This window comes from Homo sapiens, chromosome 4, assembly GCF_000001405.40.
Source record: "Homo sapiens chromosome 4, GRCh38.p14 Primary Assembly".
Classification (NCBI taxonomy): domain Eukaryota; kingdom Metazoa; phylum Chordata; class Mammalia; order Primates; family Hominidae; genus Homo; species Homo sapiens.
In genome coordinates, this window is record NC_000004.12 from 85,728,104 (window position 1) to 85,747,463 (window position 19,360).

Sequence of the window (19,360 nt, forward strand, 5' to 3'; positions counted from 1 at the left end):
TTGTACATTTCAAATTTTAAAAAGTTTCCATTCTAATTATTTTTTCCAGAAGGATTTCTTAGGAGATAGGTGAAAAGTTAGAGGACATGGGTGCCTAAAGAATCTAATAAATGCATTGATCCTTTTGCCAAAAAAAAAAAAAAAAAAAAAGGCAAATACCTACCAAAATTGCACATACTTTTGAGGACTTCAGAGATTCCCTAAAATGCAATCATTGACTGTAGTTTAAGAATAATAGTTTATATTGGGAACCAAAGACTTTATTATCTCTCTCTCTCTCACCTCTCTCTCACTCTTTATCTCTATTTTAGCTAATCTGTCTATGTTCCTATGCATTTATCTATTTTATCTATGTACATGTGTGCATAAACTGTTATTTGTAATTATCTGTTATACCAATCAGTTTTAGACTTTTACCTCTCTGATTCAGTTGTTCTTTCTCCTGTTTCTATGATTGTGTAACTCCACAGACCTATTTTGCACATTTACAGAAGAACTTTTCCTGGATGGAACATTTCATGGGTCTGGAGGCTGTAAAATTTTTAATTTAGTAAAACTTCAACCTACTTAGATGGTTACTGCAGCTGTGTTACATAATAGGCCAGCTGAGAAATAAATAGTTATGAGATAGATTCATGGGTGTCTCTGGGAAAGAAAAAAGTTTGGCCAATTTTTGAGTTTTTGGGATAATAATGTAACAACAGCAATAAAAGTTTACCATACATGTCTGCATTTGTGACTCCTTCTGGGTTGAATAAATAACGTCATTGGCTACATTAACTTGCTGTCATTTGAAAATGTAAGCCAATATTTGACATATATTTTATATGAAAATGTAGGAATGTTTTAATTGTGTTTTAGCATCAAGTTTAGTCACTTTCTTGATCACCAGTTAAATATGCTGCTTAGGCATTTAATTTTACAACACTCCCTTATCTTAACTTTTTTTCTTTTTTGTGTTAATTCTGTAAGTTAAAATCCATGCAATTATATTTGTTACCCCAAAGCAGCTGTGACAATCTCTTTTTTTGTCTGCCTAAGTCTGTAGGCAGCCGTGAAGCTTGTATTTTTTTTTTGCTTAGATTTAATATGTGCAAATCATTTAGAGAATGTGAGTAGGAGTTGCTTACGGTATGAAAACATAATTCTATATACACAAGTAGCTCTACATGAACTAAATAAATGCATTGGTGAAAGCAGCATGTATTAACTACTATGTGTTCTTAAAGAAAGTGTTTGAGATTTTTGTTTCAAAATTCCCTTCCTACTTAAAATACATTAAAATATACACTTGAAAGAAGCTATTAACATGGTACAAAGAACGTTTTAAAAATGTTTTTAATCCTTTGGAATTCTGGCTAATGTCATTTCAACCAACATACATTTGGGGCATTTACGAACTGATGGACAGCATGATCATACGATCCTCCTGTGAAGTGTCCCTATGAGGAGTGAGTGTCCTCTCACAGTGTTGGTAGACATATTGATCCAGTCACCATCACTATTCGCTAGACCAGGGGCCAGCAAACCTTTTCTGGAAAGATCCAGGAGTAAATATTTTAGGATTTTGTGACCATAAGGTTTCCACTACAGTTGTTCAACTCTGCCATGGTAGCGAAAACAAATGGATGTGGCTGTATGTCAATAAAATTTACTTATGGTCACTGAAATGTGAATTTTATATACTTCTCAAATATCAGAAATATTATTCTTTATTTTTTTCCAACCACTTAAAAATGTAAAAAATAAACAGTGAACCAGATTTGGCCCGTGGGCATAGTTTGCTGACCCCTGGGCTAGATAAAAAAAGCAAACCTATGAAAAGGAAGATGAAATACTGATATAAATCACTAATCCCCACTGGTGCCACCAGAGCCAGAATTAGAACTCTGAGACAGCCTGTCTCCCCAGGCCATGGCATTATCCATTGCCTCAAAATCATGATTCAGGAACTATTTGCCAATATTTTTATTTAGAAGTTCCATCTCTGAATAATATCTATGCTTTAAATCACATTGAACTTTAAAAGTGTTAGTGACCAAACTGAAATCTCTTTTAAACACCATCTCAGTTCATTTGGAATTCTAGATTCTGACCAGAACTGAAATCTCTTATGTGACTTTATGAATACCATTAATAGGAGATGGGATGTGCCTAGCATGAAAAACATGTCCCATATTTTATTCAGTCCACACAAATTCAGGGAGTTATTTACAAATATTCTGAGATTGAAGCAACTCTGGCAAGATCAAATAAGCTTGAAGTGTCTTCTAAGCTTTCCTTTATATGATGTACATTAGCTGTTTTTTGTTTTGTTTTTTGAGACAGGGTCTCACTCTGTCACCCAGGCTGGAGCACAGTGGTGCAATCACGGCTCACTGCCGCCTCAACCTCTTGGGCTCAAGTGATCCTCCTGCCTCAGCCTCCCGAGTAGTAGCTGGAACCACAAGTTCACACCACCATGCTCAGCTAATTTTTTTGTTTTTGTAGAGATGAGGTCTCACTATGTTGCCCAGGCTGGTCTCAAATCCCTGAGTACAAGCAGTCCTCCTCCCTCAGCCTCCCAAAGTGCTGGGATTATAGGCGTGAGCCACCACACCCAGCTTGCATTAGTATCTTAAAGCTCTAAGTATCTCACAGAAAATAACAATACATTATTTGTAAGTAAAACAAACAAACAAGCTTATCTTCTTAGAGGGGTAGTTTGTTTCCCTTACCACCCATTTATTAACATCTCCCTGCCCCAAACCCACCAGTTTTCTTTTACCATCAGTATGAGAAATGTTCCCATAATATTAATATTTAATATTTACTGAAATATGTGTCAGGCCCTGTACTGATATATGTCAGGCATTATATACAATGACTCATTTAATATAACTGCACACACACACACACACACACACACACACACACACACACACAGAGAGAGAGACTGGGCATGTGTGTGTGTGTATATATACATATATGTATATGTGTATGTATGCAAAACGGTGGTACAAATTCACATTTTTAATAAGTGGTAAAGCCAGGATTCACACCCATCTGCGCCCACAAAACCACCTTCTTATACCAATAAGAATATGGATAGGTTTATTATCTACACTACACTGAGGCCAAATATCTGAGACTTAAGAGAAACAAGGATGACAAGAAGAAATGGGGTTATAGGTTTAAGAGTCAGTATACTCTGCATTTCATTCCTTTCTCCTCCATACTCACAGTCCTTGCATTGTCTGTGTTCTCTTCCTTCCCTATTAGATTGGAAGCTCTTGAGAAGAGACACCTTCTATCCCTACTGCCTAGCAGAGTGCTGTCATGTAGTGTATGCTTAATGCATGTTTGTTGAATTAATGAATAAACAAGACTGCAGTTTTATCATCTATGGATTGATCACATTGGATTAGTCAAAGTTAGAGTTGTCTAGGTCTGAGTTATTTAACTTGATTATTGACCTTTTTCCCAGTGCCTCCTGAGACTGGATCCTAGAGAAGTTCATTAACTTCTCAGACTCTACACGATTTTAAAAGTAGACAACATTATAGCTAGATAGGAGGAAAAAGTTCTAGTGTTCTATACTACTGTAGGGTGACTATAGTTTGCGTTAATATATTATCATGTCAAATAGCTAGATGGAGGATATTGAATGTTCCAAACACAAAGAAATGATAAATATTTGAGATGGTGGATATGCAAATTATCCTGATTACTCACTATACATTATATATATTTCACAACATCACTAAGTACCCCATAAATATGTACAATTATTATGTGTCAATGTTTTTTAATAAAAGAAAGTAGTACTCTCCTCATTCTTGAGTCCTTCATTAATACACCAATAGTGTCTTTTATTACTTTGAAAACAGAAGCTATTTACAAAGAAGTTATTTGCTGAAATAAATGTGATCTTTCCCATTGTTCTTTGTGATATGGTTTTAATTATGCATTCTCAGGCCATTTGTGTTCACCTGCTTCTTTTATCCAATAATTGAAAAGGGCTTTCAATCTAATCAAGCTATGAAAATAGCAAAGTACTAAACAAATGTCAGCTGCTGTTATTACAAATAGAGTTTGTCCAGGCAGGTCTTTGTCTATGGTAGGGCTTCTTTGAGCCACAGAAAGAGTGTGTTTGGGTGACTTGATGGCCAGTGGAGAGAAAAACCAATAGGTTAGAAACGATGTCAGAATGAGAAAGGGGAATCATACTTCAAAGGAAAAGAAACAGATGAGGAAAAGGAAAATGAGTGTGCAGCAGAACAGCTGCTGATAATTAAGAGTGAGAGATAAGCTTGTAGCCAGGAGAGCACTGGCATATCACTGAGACCTGTGCCAACTCTCAGGGAACCAAGGAAGGCTTTTTCTTTTCTTTTTTAATAGAAAACTGAGATGAAGTGGTCCTGAATGTTTCAAAAGATAAAACCCTAAGGACCATCTGCAGCCCAATAATGCATCCCTAGGACTGTCAGGCTTCCTGGCTTTAAAATGGACCTTATCTTTATTTGCCTATTCATTTGTGGGTTCATTTAGCCCATGCTAATCAAATATTTATATTTCAAACATAGGATTAATAAACAAAAATTCAAACTTCTTTTTTTTTTTTTTTTGAGACAGAGTTTCGCTCTTGTTGCCCAGGCTGGAGTGCAATGGTGTGATCTCAGCTCACTGCAACCTCCACCTCCCGGGTTCAAGCGATTCTCCTACCTCAGCCTCCTGAGTAGCTGGGATTACAGGCATGTGCCACCAAGCCTGGCTAATTTTGTATTTTTTTTTTTTTAGTATTTATTTTTCTCCATGTTGATCAGGTTGGTCTCGAACTCCCAACCTCAGATGATGCACCTGCCTCGGCCTCCCAAAGTGCTGGAATTACAGGCGTGAGCCACCGCGCCCGACCTCAAACTTCTATATTACATTCAAATTGCATCAACCAGCTATAGATCTTATAGGCCTCACCAACTTTTTTTTTTTTTTTTTTTTTGAGATGGAGTTTCGCTCTGTCACCCAGGCTGGAATGCAGTGGCACGATCTCAGCTCATTGCAAGCTCTGCCTCCCGGGTTCACACCTTTCTCCTGCCTCAGCTTCCCGAGTAGCTGGGACTACAGGCGCCCACCACCACACTTGGCTAATTTTTTGTATTTTTAGCAGAGACAGGGTTTCACTGTGTTAGTCAGGATGGTCTCGATCTCCTGACCTCATGATCCACCTGCCTCGGCCTCCCAAAGTGCTGGGATTACAGGCGTGAGCCACCACGCTGGGCCCAGGCCTCACCAACTTGGTAGGACAGTCCCTAAACTGTTATTATGAAGGGGCACTGGTTTAAGGACTCTCTGGTCCCATATAGAAAGTTTTTCTATGAACTTGTGCTTGATTAGCACTGTTTTTAAAATAACATTTTCTGTGCCTTTCACAAGAAAGGGGAGTGAGTAGAAAGAATCTTTAGTGTATTTTTTGGCTTTCTAGGGCTTCCATAACAAGTACTACAAACTGGGTGACATAAGCAACAGAAATGTATTTTCTCAGGATTCTGGAGGCTAGAAGTTCAAGATCAAGGTGTCAGCTGGGTTGGTTTCTTCTGAGGGCTCTCTCCTTGGTTCATCTCCTTCTCCCTGTGTCTTCACAGGGTCTTCCCTCAGTGCCCTTCTGTGTCCTAATTTCTTCTTCTTATAAGGACATCAGTTGCATAGGATTAGGGCCACCCTCATCACCTCATTTTAAATTAATTACCTCTTTAAAGACCCTGTCTCCAAATGGGGTCACATTCTGAGGTATTGGGGGTTTGAAGTTCCTTGTATGTATTTTGGGGAAACACAAGTAAGCCCATATCAGAATTAAAAAGGAAATGAGACTTAACTGTTCTTCTAAAGGCTTCTCTATTTTAGGGGACAAACTTTCCCTCATGTTTCTGACTGACTGTTTGAGCTCCACCCTACTCCTCAAAGAAAGAAGCAGAAATCCAGACCTTGCTATATGTTCACCACACTATAATCCAGAACTCTACTTATTCCTGCCACAAATATTAAAAAAGCTGAGAGATTTAGCAACCAAAGCATTAACTAAAAACACAGGAAATAAAAATGAGGGCTGCCCAGGGGAAGAACAAATATTGTATATCTAGCTATTTTTCCTGAAAATTGACCTTGGATTTAAAACTCTCTTCAATTTTACTCTTAGTGTTTTGTTTTGTTTTGTTTTTATCACTTTGCCCAAAGGAAATACATTGGACATCTAGCCTTAGTGCTGTTGTTATTGTCTTTATTTGTGTATTTTTTTCTTTTTAAGTGAAGGTTAATTTTATTTGAGGACAAACTTCTCTCTAAAAGTGGTACACCAATGCTTTAAATACAACTGTTATGCATCTAGACAGAGGCAGAAAGCCAAAGGGAGCACTTGATACATCTTATCCAGTTGCCCAAGCTTTCTGTAGTGAATTACCAACTTGTCATTTAGGATATACAGGAGCAAGGGGTGTCAAGGCAGGCAATTAAGGCTTCTGGAAAACAATTAGTGCAGGGGCATGACATAATTCAGGGAATTTTTTTTTTTTTTTTTTTTTTTAGCAGCAATCACATTGTCCTTCTCATGACTCATTATTTCTGATGTGTCACTTGCTTATCGGAATCACAGTGGAGATAATGACAAAACTGTGCTTGGAGGCTATTTGGCTCTGATCTCTGGGCTGTGATTTGTCATAATGGGTTCTTTGATTGAAAGACAAGTAACTCATTCCACTTTGGCTATAACTGATGCAAATCAGTTATTATTTAAGTAGTTGGTTTATTTTGCATTTTATTTTCGATCATCCTGTCTCCCACACATAGCCTTACTGCCAACTTAATTTAATGGATATTCCCCTAATTTCCTAATACCAAGTATACAAAATTACTTATATCTGTTACTACAGAGAAACTGCCCCTTTTCCTTCCTAAATCCAGTTCTTCATCTGTCTTTGAATTCCTTCCACTCCCACCTTTTCAGGAACCGTAATCTATTGATTGTACTGTTTTTATCTTGTTATGTAATTTTGGCTCCTGTGTGTATTCTCATAGGATTACAGGTGTGAGTACATTAATGTTTTCATTTAAAAAGCAAATGAATCTCATGCATACTAAAGTTTTAAAAATATGAACATACGATCATGCTATTAGTTCTCTGAGTTTATAAAAAAAATAATAATCTCTTAACCACACTTCTCCCATCATCCAGCACCTCACGTGTTTTGCTTCTTTTTGCAACAAAACTATACCACACTCATTCCAAGTTCTAGCTTTGTTCAAATCAACTTTTGTCCACTCATTCCACCAGATTTTTTTTTTACTAATGACATTGATGACAGCTGATTTTTCTTTATCCATTGATTACATTTTAATCCTCATAATAATTGCCCAATCAGAATCATTTGACCCAGTTGATTACTCCTTTTTTCTGGGTACACATTCTTCATTTGGCTTTTAGGACACTAACTTTCTTAGTTTTCATCCTACTCTATTGTCCCTGTCTCTTAGTCACCATTACTTGTTAGTCTTCTTCTCCCTTACCTCGTCATGTCAGAGGGCCCTTGGACTCAGTCTTGGTCCTCTTTGTCCTGGAGCACTGCAATATTCTACTAGCTTGTCTTCAGACTCTAGTCTTCCCTCACTCTCTTCTCTTCCATACACTGTAGCCAGAGTGATATTTTTAATAGACTTAATTTTTAGAGCAGTTTTAGGTTTATAAAACATTACATTAAAAAGTACATAGAGCTCCCATATACAGTGATATTTTTTATATTCAAGTATGATCAAGTCACCTCCTATTTTTTTAAAAAAATCTATCACCGTCTACAGGACTATAGCCTATAACTACCCCCGATGTATTTTATTTTTCTCTCTTGCTCTGTGTACTCTACCACATTGACTTTCTTTGAGTTTCTCAAATGTGCAATGCATCACACTAACCATAGGCCCTTTATATATGCTGTTCCCTCTTTTTAGAATGGCTCCTCCCATCATTCCAAGATTCATAAGATAACTACTATTCATCTCTCAAATGGTATGTCAATTGCTGCTTCTTTAGAAAAGAAACTCAATCCTCCCTCACAGGATGTCTTAAACCACTTTGAAGGCCCATGATCTGTACTTCTTGCCATTTTTCTTATAGAAATAATGTCTGTCTCTCACTCAAGAATGTAAGTTCCATGAGAGCTAGAACTTTGTTTTGCTCATCATCTTATTTCCAGTGTGCAGCAAATTGCCTGACATGTCATAACCATTTATAAATATTTGTTGAACAAAAGAAAGAAAGAAAGAAGGAAGGAAGGAAGGCACAGGAAGGTAGTGTAATGTAGAAATGGGTAGCTTCTGGGGTTACTAATCAGAAACCCTGAGTGCTACAGTAATTCTGTGATTCAATTCGAATCCAAAGTTTGGTTAAGTTAATCAAACATTTAGTAAGAATCAGCAATGAGCAAGATATTATGTGCCAAATTCTTATCCTCAAGAAACTATTGTTTATCATCCAATAAACATCAAGTAGAGGTGGAATTCTGCTGAACACTCAAGGAACACCGATCAAGTCCATTATTGAAGCAATCGAGTACTTACAAAACTAGTAAGTAGGTAGAGGAGAAGAGATTTTTGTTTCTGCTGTATCTCTTAGGCAATTTCTCTAATTCTTGTGGCATCCACTTCCTCAACAGTTAAGTGAATGTTACACTGTGGAGCTAACAGATGAGACAATGTATGTGAATGTCTGTAAACTAGTGTCACCCAAATGAGGATGGTGATCTGTGTAAATTAGTATAAACTATCCCACTAGTCTACCATCATATGTGCCTAACTTGTCCTAAACTCAGCTTTCTTTAATGAAACCTCATTATTTCTAATGTGTTCAAATTCAATGATAAGTTTTAGTAACATCTTCTCTGTCATCTTTCCCCTAGTTGATGTGTGAAAATCAATTGATGTGAAGGTACTCAATGGAAAAAGAATGAGATGATCATTCTTTCACCAGCACACAGCTGGTGAAAAAATAATGGTTTTGTTTGTTTGTTTGTTTGTTTGTTTTTTGCATGATGGTATAACCTTCCTTCTCTAAATGCTGGAAGTCCAGACCTGAGTCATAAGTGACCCCTCTCCCCAGTGCCTATGAACTGGTGCCCAAATGTAAAATTCACCCATTCTGTTCAGCCCTTTGTTAACCTGTAGACTCTAGTGGATTTGATTTCTGCTTCCTTTGAGATGAATATCTCCTGTACTTCCTGGAAGCCAGCAGTGCCATTTCATTAGCAGTCTGAAACACAAAGCCTCAAAGCCATCACTATACTACTGTTGGGATGACTCTTAATGGAACTAATTGTTCATAGGAAACTCTAGGCAGCAAACTGGTTGTGGGCTCAGTCTAATGGTCACTGACTTAATTACACAGAAGGAGCCAAGCACAATGGCTCAGTATGTTAATCGTGGCTGAAAATATGATCTCCATGCAAAGTGCAATATTGCCATGTTCTTGCTGCTCAAAATAATTGGGAGCAGCAAGGAGATGATAATATTGCACTTTTTCAACTATTTGAACCCTGGAGCTGTTACATGTACTCACTTTCATGACATTTGCAAATTCACTCTTTCTTTCAGGTCACTTATTTGAAAATATGAAAAGGCATAGATTCCTAACACCAACCAACAATGTTAATAAATTGTATGGAAAGGGTTGATATAAAGGCTCTACAGTGAAAGGAAGGAAGCTGGCTCATACTTAGCAACATTCTACTTAGCTGTCTTTCCACTCTTCCATATTCTCTTTGATTATATTAGTATTAAATTTTCTTGATTTTGTCAGTATAAGTAGGAATACCACTGCCATTCCTAGTGTGCTTGGTTTATGTAGGCTGGAATGCAGTGGTATGATCTCGGCTCACTGCAACCTCCACCTCCCAGGTTCAAGTGATTTTCATGCCTCGGCCTCCCAAGTAGCTGAGATTAAAGGCGCCCACCACCATGCCCAGCTAATTTTTGTATTTTTAGTAGAGACAGAGTTTCACCATGTTGGCCAGGCTCGTCTCGAACTCCTGACCTCAGGTGATCCACCCACCTTGGCCTCCCAGAGTACATCTATCTTTTTTATTATGGCCACTCTATTGGGTAGGAAGTGGTATCTCATTGTGGTTTATTTGCATTTCCCTAATGCTAATTAATATTGACTATCTTTTCATGTGCCTTTGACCATTTGCATATATCTCCTTTGGATAAATGTGTTTTCAAATCTTTGGCCTAGTTTTCATTTGGGCTTTTATTATTATTATTATTATTATTATTATTATTATTATCATTATTATTATTATTATTGTCAGGTTGTAAGAGTTCTTTATATAGTCTAGGTACAAACCTCATGTCAGATATAAAACCTATAATATTTTCTCCTATCCCATGAGTTGTTCTTTTACTTTACTGGTGGTGTCCTTGAACCACAGAAGTTTTTAATTTTGATAAAATCCAATTTATCTCTTTTGTCTTTGATCACCTTCTGTCATGTCTAAGCAGGCTTTGCCTAAATCAAGATCATGAAAGTTTATCCCCATATTTTCTTTTAAGAGTTTTATAATTTAGCTCTTACATTTATGTCTATTATTCACCTTGAGTTAATTTTTTGTGTATGGTATAAGAAAGGAATCTAACTTCATTTTTTGCATGTGGATTGTCTAGTTTTTCCAGCACCACGTGTTGAACACAGTATTTTTGTTCTCATTGGATTGTCTTGGTATCATTTTCATTTTTTAAAGGATGAGTTTTTCTCCCTCTGGTTGAGTCAGCTGCAGATGGCATAAGACCAGGCATGTTTCTTAAAAAGTCTCATTCTTTAATTTTCAATAATTCTCTTGTCTGCCGCCTGCTGTCTATTTTAGCTGGAGGGAGGATCCCCAAGTTCTAGCCTGAGAACACCATGGATTGCCTTTTGATGTTATTAAAGCCTTGAAAATAAAAGAAGCATTTAGAGACCATGCCACACCTGACTCCTCTGTTGACTGATTTTCTTGCCATGGCCTTGCCCCTTTCCTAGCTTCAGGCCAGGAGGACTGCTTGGGCTCCCTCACCTAGCTCTCTTCTTGCTTGCCTCCCTCTCCCCTGCCTCCCTGGTGCAGTAGGCTTTGTAATTTGAGTCTACCCAGAACCCTTCTATGCATTTCCATCTTCAGGTGGTCAATATGCATTTAACTGAACGAAAAGCTTAGGACTTGCCATAAGTCAGGGCATTATCCTTGCATCCTCTCTGTTTCTCACACTTGACATCCAATCATCAACCAGTGGTGCTGATTCTGCTTCCAAAATATATCTCTGCTCGGTTTTCTTCTCTCTGTCTCCTGTTTCTTCTCATGTATACCAAATCATCTTTCTGTTAGATTTCTGCACTTAATCCTTCTAGAATCCATTTTCTTCCAAATTCCAGAAAGATCATTTTAAATTGTGCTAACTGGCTGTGTAAAGCCTTCAACAGCTTCCCATTACACTCTCCATATCGTGAAAACTCCACGTTCAATCTTTTTTTTTTTTTTTTTTTTTTTTTTTTTTGAGATGGAGTCTCGCTCTGTCGCCCAGGCTGGAGTGCAGTGGCGCGATCTCGGCTCACTGCAAGCTCCGCCTCCCGGGTTCACGCCATTCTCCTGCCTCAGCCTCCCGAGTAGCTGGGACTACAGGCGCCCGCTACCACGCCCGGCTAATTTTTTGTATTTTTAGTAGAGACGGGGTTTCACCGTGTTAGCCAGAATGGTCTCGATCTCCTGACCTCGTGATCCGCCCACCTCGGCCTCCCAAAGTGCTGGGATTACAGGCGTGAGCCACCGCGCCCGGCCCACGTTCAATCTTATAGCCTACAGGATCCCATCCCCTATCGCCCCTTGCTCCCATGCTCCAGCCACACAGACTTGCCACATAGTTCACGAATGTCCACAGATTTTTCAGATCGATGGCCTTTCACACATGCTGGATCCCCTCCTTACAGAGTACATGCCTTTGGGTTTTGTTTTGTTTGTTTGTTTGGCTATTTCTTATCATTCAAATCTCTATTTAAATGCTTTCTTCTCAGAGGAGAACTTCTATTGAAAGTACCTACCTCCGATCTGGGATATTCTTTTTGTTGTTGTTGTTGGGGTTTTTTTTTTTTTTAGACGGAGTGTTCCTCTGTCGTCCAGGCTGCAGTGCTGGAGTGCGGTGATCTCGGCTCACTGCAACCTCCCACTCCTGGGTTCAGGCGATTCTCCTGCCTTAGCCTCCTGAGTAGCTGGGATTATAGGTGCCCACCTCCATGCCCTGCTAATTTTTGTATTTTTGGTAGGGACAGGGTTTCACCATGTTGGCCAGGCTGCTCTCGAACTCCTGACCTCAAGTCATCTGCCTGCCTCGGCCTTATATAGGGGTGAGTCACCCCACCCAGCCGATATTCTTTATTAGTCATCTTTTTCATATCTATTACAGAGTTTTCTATTCTGAATTTAATAGTTTGTTTAGCTATCTTTTACCTGTTTTATTTACTGTCATATACTGTGTGCTTGCTTGTGGTTGGCACTCAATAAAAATTGATAAATATGAGGACTATTATATTTCTTATCATCATCTCTCTTCTCGTCCTTCTTTCCTTCGTGTGAGTGGAAGATGATGTCATTCTTTGCATATTTTTGTAACCCATGGCTTATTTTACCATGAAACAAGCTCTTCCTTGCAATCATCCTCACTTCAGAGAATATTTAACAATATACTGTTGTCTTATAGATGCAGCTCAGTAGTCCTACATTATCCCAGAAACACAGATTCCCTATGCATAAAAAAGCAGTAATGAAAGCTAACTTTTTTGAGTATTTATTCTGTTCACTATTGTATTCTTTAATTTAACAGTGCTTGTATTCTTTAATTTAATTTAACAATGCTATAATTTAAGGACATTATTCTCTTCATTTTACAAAGAAATTGAAGCTTCAAATTAAAGTAACTTGCCCTAGGTCACCAGCCAGTGAAATAGCAAATGCAGGGTCCCTTTCACATAACCATTTTGCTGTTCTTTCAGAAAAATCTAAACAAACCAAGACATTCACAGGAGGTTTTCCTTCCTTCGGCACCAGAGAGGTGGTTATTTGTTTCCCACTAGGCACAAGAGAGAAGAAAAACACAACAGAAAACAATATTAAGATCATACTAGAGATGGGGCTAGAATGGCTTTTGCTGTTAGGAAAAATGGGAACATCTTAGAGACTCTATGGTGCTATCTTACTAAATTACCCAGAAGTAAAGAAAAGGGAGGGTTTTAAAATAAATAAATACATAAACAGGGTTTTTGTTTTCATTTTCAGAAATATCTCTAAAAGCAAATAGTTTTACAGCGATATCATTATATGTGTTAAACTTCCAGCTCTCTGAGTATGACTTCTGCATTTTTATTTTTATTTTTAGATTCAGTTTTGTTCACTTGGGCATGTGTATGGCTTGGAGACAGGCAGGAATGCCAAAAAGCTGGTAGATGATGGCAACTGTGATGAGCAGAAGAACTCACTGCCTCAGTTACCTGGATGTGGGCCATTTTCTTTCCCTGGAGTTGGAGGGCGGGCAACAATGTTGAAACTGGCTGGAAGTTGAGAGAGAAACTGAATTTGTTTCAGGGCCTAGTGATATTTTAGTGCATAATTTTATAAAATAACAGCTCCATTCCATGAATATAGGAGAGGAAAAAGATTATTGAGAAAATAATTTTTTTACAGGCACTGGTACTTTTTTTTCATGTTTTGTGTTGTAGTTGCATTTTACTAGAGCAGCTGACACCATTCTATGTGGTCTGATTATGTAGTTCAAAGACCAAAACCAAATAAAAAGATCTACTCTTTAAAAACTCTCTTTTCCAATGAGAGGATTATGGAAAAAGTGACAGTGATTGAAAGTCTGTGTTCTATTTGCCAGAGTGGGGGAGGGAGTGGTAAGGCAGGTTGACTGGGATAGACCAGTCACGAAGGAGCTGGAACATTCACCCAGGCCAATTGCCATGTGACTTGTAGAAGGTCTGTGGGGAAGACACCATCTGCCACTGTTTGGCAGGATTTGGCCACCATGGCACAGAGTGGGCAATTGTCCTCAACCTTGGAGGCAGAAGCTGGCAGCTGGCCAAAAGTCTGCTTTCTCCCAGAAGAGATAGGCAGTCACTGAGCCGAGATACTGATGATGTCTCTCTCTTATCGTGCAACATGGAGAGCGGGAGAAAATGAGGGAGGACAGAAGAGAGGAGAAGGAGGAGGAAAATAAGAAAAGGAATACTAATTAACTCAGCCTGTCTATCCAGCTAAGCTTGAGCTTGATTTTGCTCTCTAGTTGAATGGAACATGCAACCTGAATTTCTGAATAACAGAATTACCAAATTACTGTTTAAGTGTTTGAGAAAAAAAGGTGAAAAGTGTGTGTACTATATGTATAGACGTATAGATTGACATATAGTGAATTGGTTAATTGAATGTCTGCATCAGATAAGAAGGTGTTAGGTCAATTTCCACAATAATGCCATTAAAATCGGTTCTTTGATTAAATCCAATTAACAGATGTGGAAACTGAGGTTTGTGACAAGGTTCAATCCCTGATTTCTGTGACTCCAAAGTATGTGCTGTTATTTAATGTTTATGTATTCTCTATTATGAATTGTTTTCAAGTTTTTTAAAATATCACTAGCTAGCCTGTACGTTTCTTAGGAGGCAAAAACAATTGCCTTAAATTTTGTTATATTTTAGTGCCATTTTGCACATAGGTTATAAGCAACAGATAATTTCTGTAATCTTTAGAATATCGATTAAACTTGTTAAAATGTAGATATTTTGAAATCTCACACAGGACACCTAAATTATGTAAAATGTTATAAACTTTATGATTTACAGGGGCCCTGGAGATGGAAGTTCTGAAAAAATGTTGCCTTTATTCAGTATTAGTGCATTATCAGGGACTCCAGATCTCAGTTAAAATGAGAGAATCTGAATCTCTAGGCAATGATGAGTGTTTCTGAAATTCAGATTCACCAGAAAGAAATTGAAAGCAAAGAGAAGACAGTGTTGTCAAATTATCATATAATTCAGCTAAAAAAAAAATCATGGTACTTAAGTGGGAGCTAGAGCACATCACTGCCTTTAAGAAGATATTTAGGGGAATAAAAGAGGTCTGGGACCTCGGAGGTGAAACTGAGAGAAAGACAAAGGGACTTCAAATCAAGCATTTGAAAGAGCCAATGAGGGGCCAGATGTGGTGACTCACTCCTGTAATCCCAGCACTTTAAGACGCCAAGGCGGGATCCCATCTCAAAAAAAAAAAAAAAAAAAAAAAAAAAAAAAAAAAAAAAAAGGCTGGGCATGTTAGTCCCAGCTGTTTGGGAGGGTGAGGCAGGAGGATCACTTGAGCCCAGAAGGCTGAGTCAGCAGTGAGCCATGATTGCACCACTGTACTCTAGCCTACGTGACAGGGCGAGATCCTGTCTCAAAAACAAAACAAAACAAAAACAGAAAAGAAAGAGCCAATGAAACAAAACCCACAGAGAAGAGAAGCAGAACTGTTGTACCAAAGTAACAGTTCTCAAATCTTTATTTTCTTTCTTTTGTGATAAGACACACAGGCCAAATAAGACTGACTGCAAGTTAGCACAAGAGTGCAACGACTCTATGTTATCCTGGCTCCCTCATTCAAGGAAACACGCCAAAACTTAAGTAAAAATAATCTTAAAACAACCTTAATTATAAATAAGCAAATCTCTTACAAATGGCACTACTTTATCATTAATTAGCAACTACTAAGTTGTAGCATATAACACAGAAGTATGGTATCAAGACTGAAAACTAATTGATTATTTAATTCCTAGCATCTTTTCAAGTTCTCAAATCCCAAGATTTGCCTATGGTTGCCACCAAGAGCTATGGAATTATTGTTTGGTAGGTGATTTTCATCCTCCATATTAAAAACAAAAACAAAAACAAAACCATTCTTTTTAAGGAATTCATCCATTTGTAGATGCATCTGTTTCCAGTGGTTCCAGTGTGTTTGTTTTGATTATCACATATGAATTCAGCTTTGTCCAAATATTTATAGAAAAACATAGAAGCCATGTTCTACTTGAAAAGTGCTTTTCATTTTGTAAGACCCTTGAGTACTTTACTTGTAATACCACAATTCAAACATATTTGGATTAAGCTTCAATCCTGGAGAGGCAAGGAGTCTGGCTTATGTTCCTTGGAATGGTTATTTGCTTGATTTTGAATCCCATAATCCCTGAATCTATGAATTTTTAGGATTCTGTTTTTAATCTCAGTCACATACTCACTCTATATGTGTGAGAAAGATATAAGGCCCAAGTCACAAAATAAATGAATAGAATTTCTTAAATGAGAGCAAAAAATTAGTACTCTTGGAGCACAAATTCAAGGAGAATGGATCTTTAGCATATTGGTTGTTAAATGCTACCCCAGTGTTTAAGGAGAGAGAAAAGACACACAGAGAGATAAAGAGAGGTTGAGCTGGGAAGCAGATGACTGAGGTCTCTCCTAAACCCTCCATCCTCCACCCTCCACGCGTTAGAGGCAAACCAAGAAGTTACTTGTAGCTGTGACATTCCTGACTGACAGGACTCCAGAACAACTTGTAACAAAAGAGACTTGAATCATCTTTCATATTGGTTTGGGATATTTTTTCATTATGTATTGCTGCTTTTTAAAATGGTTATTTAGTCTTTTAAAAATATATCTTTCCCCATGCATGCCATTTGTTTGTTAAGTCCTTATTTCAGAGAATTCTTAAAGGTAGTCCAATCATTAGAGGGAATTAGCCAGGCGGTACAGAATATCATATGCCAGCCTCCACTAAACAGCTAGACAAGTCTAAATGTGCCCTCCATTTTCAGAAGCCTTCTTTAATCCAGTCTCAATGCTCTCCACTATTAATTCCAAACAATGTTTAAATATGAGTGTGAGGTTAAAGCAAGGTGCTTTCATCCTTAAAGTGGTTGTCATTGTCAGATATGAGTAAATTTGTGCCCAGGAAAACGTGAAAAGGAGAGAAGCTTATAAATTTAACCAGCGGCCGGGAATGGTGACTCATGCCTATAATCCCAGTACTTCAAGAGGCCGTGGCAGGAGAAACACTTAAGACCAGGAATTTGAGACAAGCCTGGGCAAGATGGCGAGAGACCCCAGTAACTACTAATATATACCGTAGTATATATATAATATATAGTAGTATATGTATATATACATATATACATATATATGTATTATAGAGTATATGTATTATATTGTATACATACATGTGCATATATAATATATATAGTAGTATATATACATATATATAATATATATATACACATATGCTGGGCATGGTGCTGTGCACCTGTGGTTCTCAGTTACTCAGGAGTCTGAGGCAAGAGGATCCCTTCACTCCAGGAGTTCAAGGCTTCAATGAGCTGTGCTTACACAACTGTACTCCACCCTGAGTGACAGAGTGACACCTTATCTCTTAAAAAAAAAAAACTATAAGAAAATAAAATCAACAAGTACATCCTGTGTACCTACTTGCATACTACACAGTATGAAAGACATAAAAAGTGAATAAAACATAGTCCTTGAACTTGTGAATAATCTCATAATAATCTAATGGGCTACAGATTACCAAACTAAGTGTAATACATAGAAGAATGTTCTTCATGCTAAATAAAGTCCTGGAGAAGTTTGTTGGAGGGAAAATTTCTATTACGTGGCAAGAATCTATAAGTTTCCAAGTTCTGCAGATTATTCTAATGCCTAGCCTGGCTCTGCAGCATGATGCTAGGTACTATGATTCCAAAACCCAGTGCCTTCCCCTGTAGCCTGACAGTCCAGTGGACTAAGAAAATAGGCATGCCAGCAATTGAACACATTTACTGTTAAAGGCAATTTGATGTAAGTTAAAGTCAAGTCGGGGTAGGTTTTTATTTGTTTTGTTTTGTTCTCATATAATTCTATAGATTTCCTAGGAGTCGTGAAGGAGGAAGTAGTGAACACAGTAATATAGATACCTGCTTTTTTCACTGTGTACTTTTCCCAAGTGGGAAAGAAAGGGCAAGCTAGGGAATTGGGGCTAAATTCCTCCTTAGCGATATGATGCCCAGTTTCCAGGAATGGATAGGCAGGGCTGGGAATCTGCTTCCTTGTTAAGAATCATTTAGTGTTGCAAATATTAAAATTGTGCTATGCAGCCCTCCTTCTTTTGAGTATCTGACTGATTCTTCATGACTTCTTCATTTTCTATTTTTCTACAAACTTATCCATCCTGTAAGCCCAGCTCCTCTACCAGCAAACCTCAAAATAACCAACTCCAAAATACTTAATTTCAAGAGAAGCATTTTTTCTTATACTAGTTCTTGTGTTTGTTGTATTTCCTTTGTATGATTTCATTTTTTTTTAACATTCATGTCATACCCTAACCTCTATTGTGATGTCCTTGGAGGCAGGGGCTATATTTTGTGCCTGCATGTATCTTTTAACCACACGCCTGAACAGGAGAGGCACTCAGGTTGTTTGATTGGCTTGTTTGTTTTGTTGTGTTTTGTTTTTTTTAGATGGAGTCTCACACTGTCACCCAGGCTGGAGTGCAGTTGTGCGATCTCGGCTCACTACAACCTTCACCTCCCAGGTTCAAGTGATTCTTCTTGCCTCAGCCTCCCAAGTAGCTGGGATTACAGGTGCCTGCCACCATGCCTGGCTAATTTTTTTTGTATTTTTAGTAGAGACGGGGTTTCACTATGTTGGGCAGGATGGTCTCGATCTCCTGACCTCGTGATCTGCCCGCCTCAGCCTCCCAAAGTGCTGGGATTTCAGGAGTGAGCCACCGCACCCAGCCTGATTGGCCTGTTTTAATGGGAAACCATTAATACAGGACTTCAGGGATCTTATTTGTATATAACTAAACCATGGCTGGGACATCACTGCCAGTCAGTACAAATGCATATGAGAGTAGCTGCTTCTTTCTTTTAAAACCATTATAAACAGCACTAGAAACATTTTCTCCTACTTTTCAGGAAATGCCTGGAGCAACATGAGCAAAGCTAACTTTTAAAATAAGCTCTTTCATTTTTTGCTTTTTAAATCTCCTATCATCAGTTTACGTTTCACTTATGTTTTAAAATGTGATCATATTAAAATATCTTTAGAGTAGAAAGTATCTTGTATAGCTTTTGAAAAAAATCCTTTTTTGGGAGGTAATCTTGTTAGATATCTTTTGTATTTTATTTAGCAAAAAAAAGCACTAAGCACAAATAAAAACAAAATTGAACCGCCTACAATATGGCATTAAAATAGCTGAAAATTGAGGCCGGGGGCGGTGGCTCACACCTGTAATCCCAGCACTTTGG

General features: G+C 38.0%; 1 protein-coding gene across 2 annotated transcripts in view, besides 1 other annotated feature; it reads left to right on the forward strand.

Moving 5' to 3' along the window:
• ARHGAP24 (Rho GTPase activating protein 24) overlaps positions 1–19,360 on the forward strand; it is a 527,517-nt gene that overhangs the window by 252,954 nt on the left and 255,203 nt on the right. The gene's annotated exons all lie outside the window — the stretch shown is intronic.
• Positions 13,933–14,227: a silencer, noted in NCBI's record as "tiled region #4363; HepG2 Repressive non-DNase unmatched - State 24:Quies". NCBI's record gives its function as "represses a minimal TATA promoter and a strong SV40 promoter by Sharpr-MPRA in HepG2 cells {active_cell/tissue: HepG2}" and the evidence as "EXISTENCE:reporter gene assay evidence [ECO:0000049][PMID:27701403]".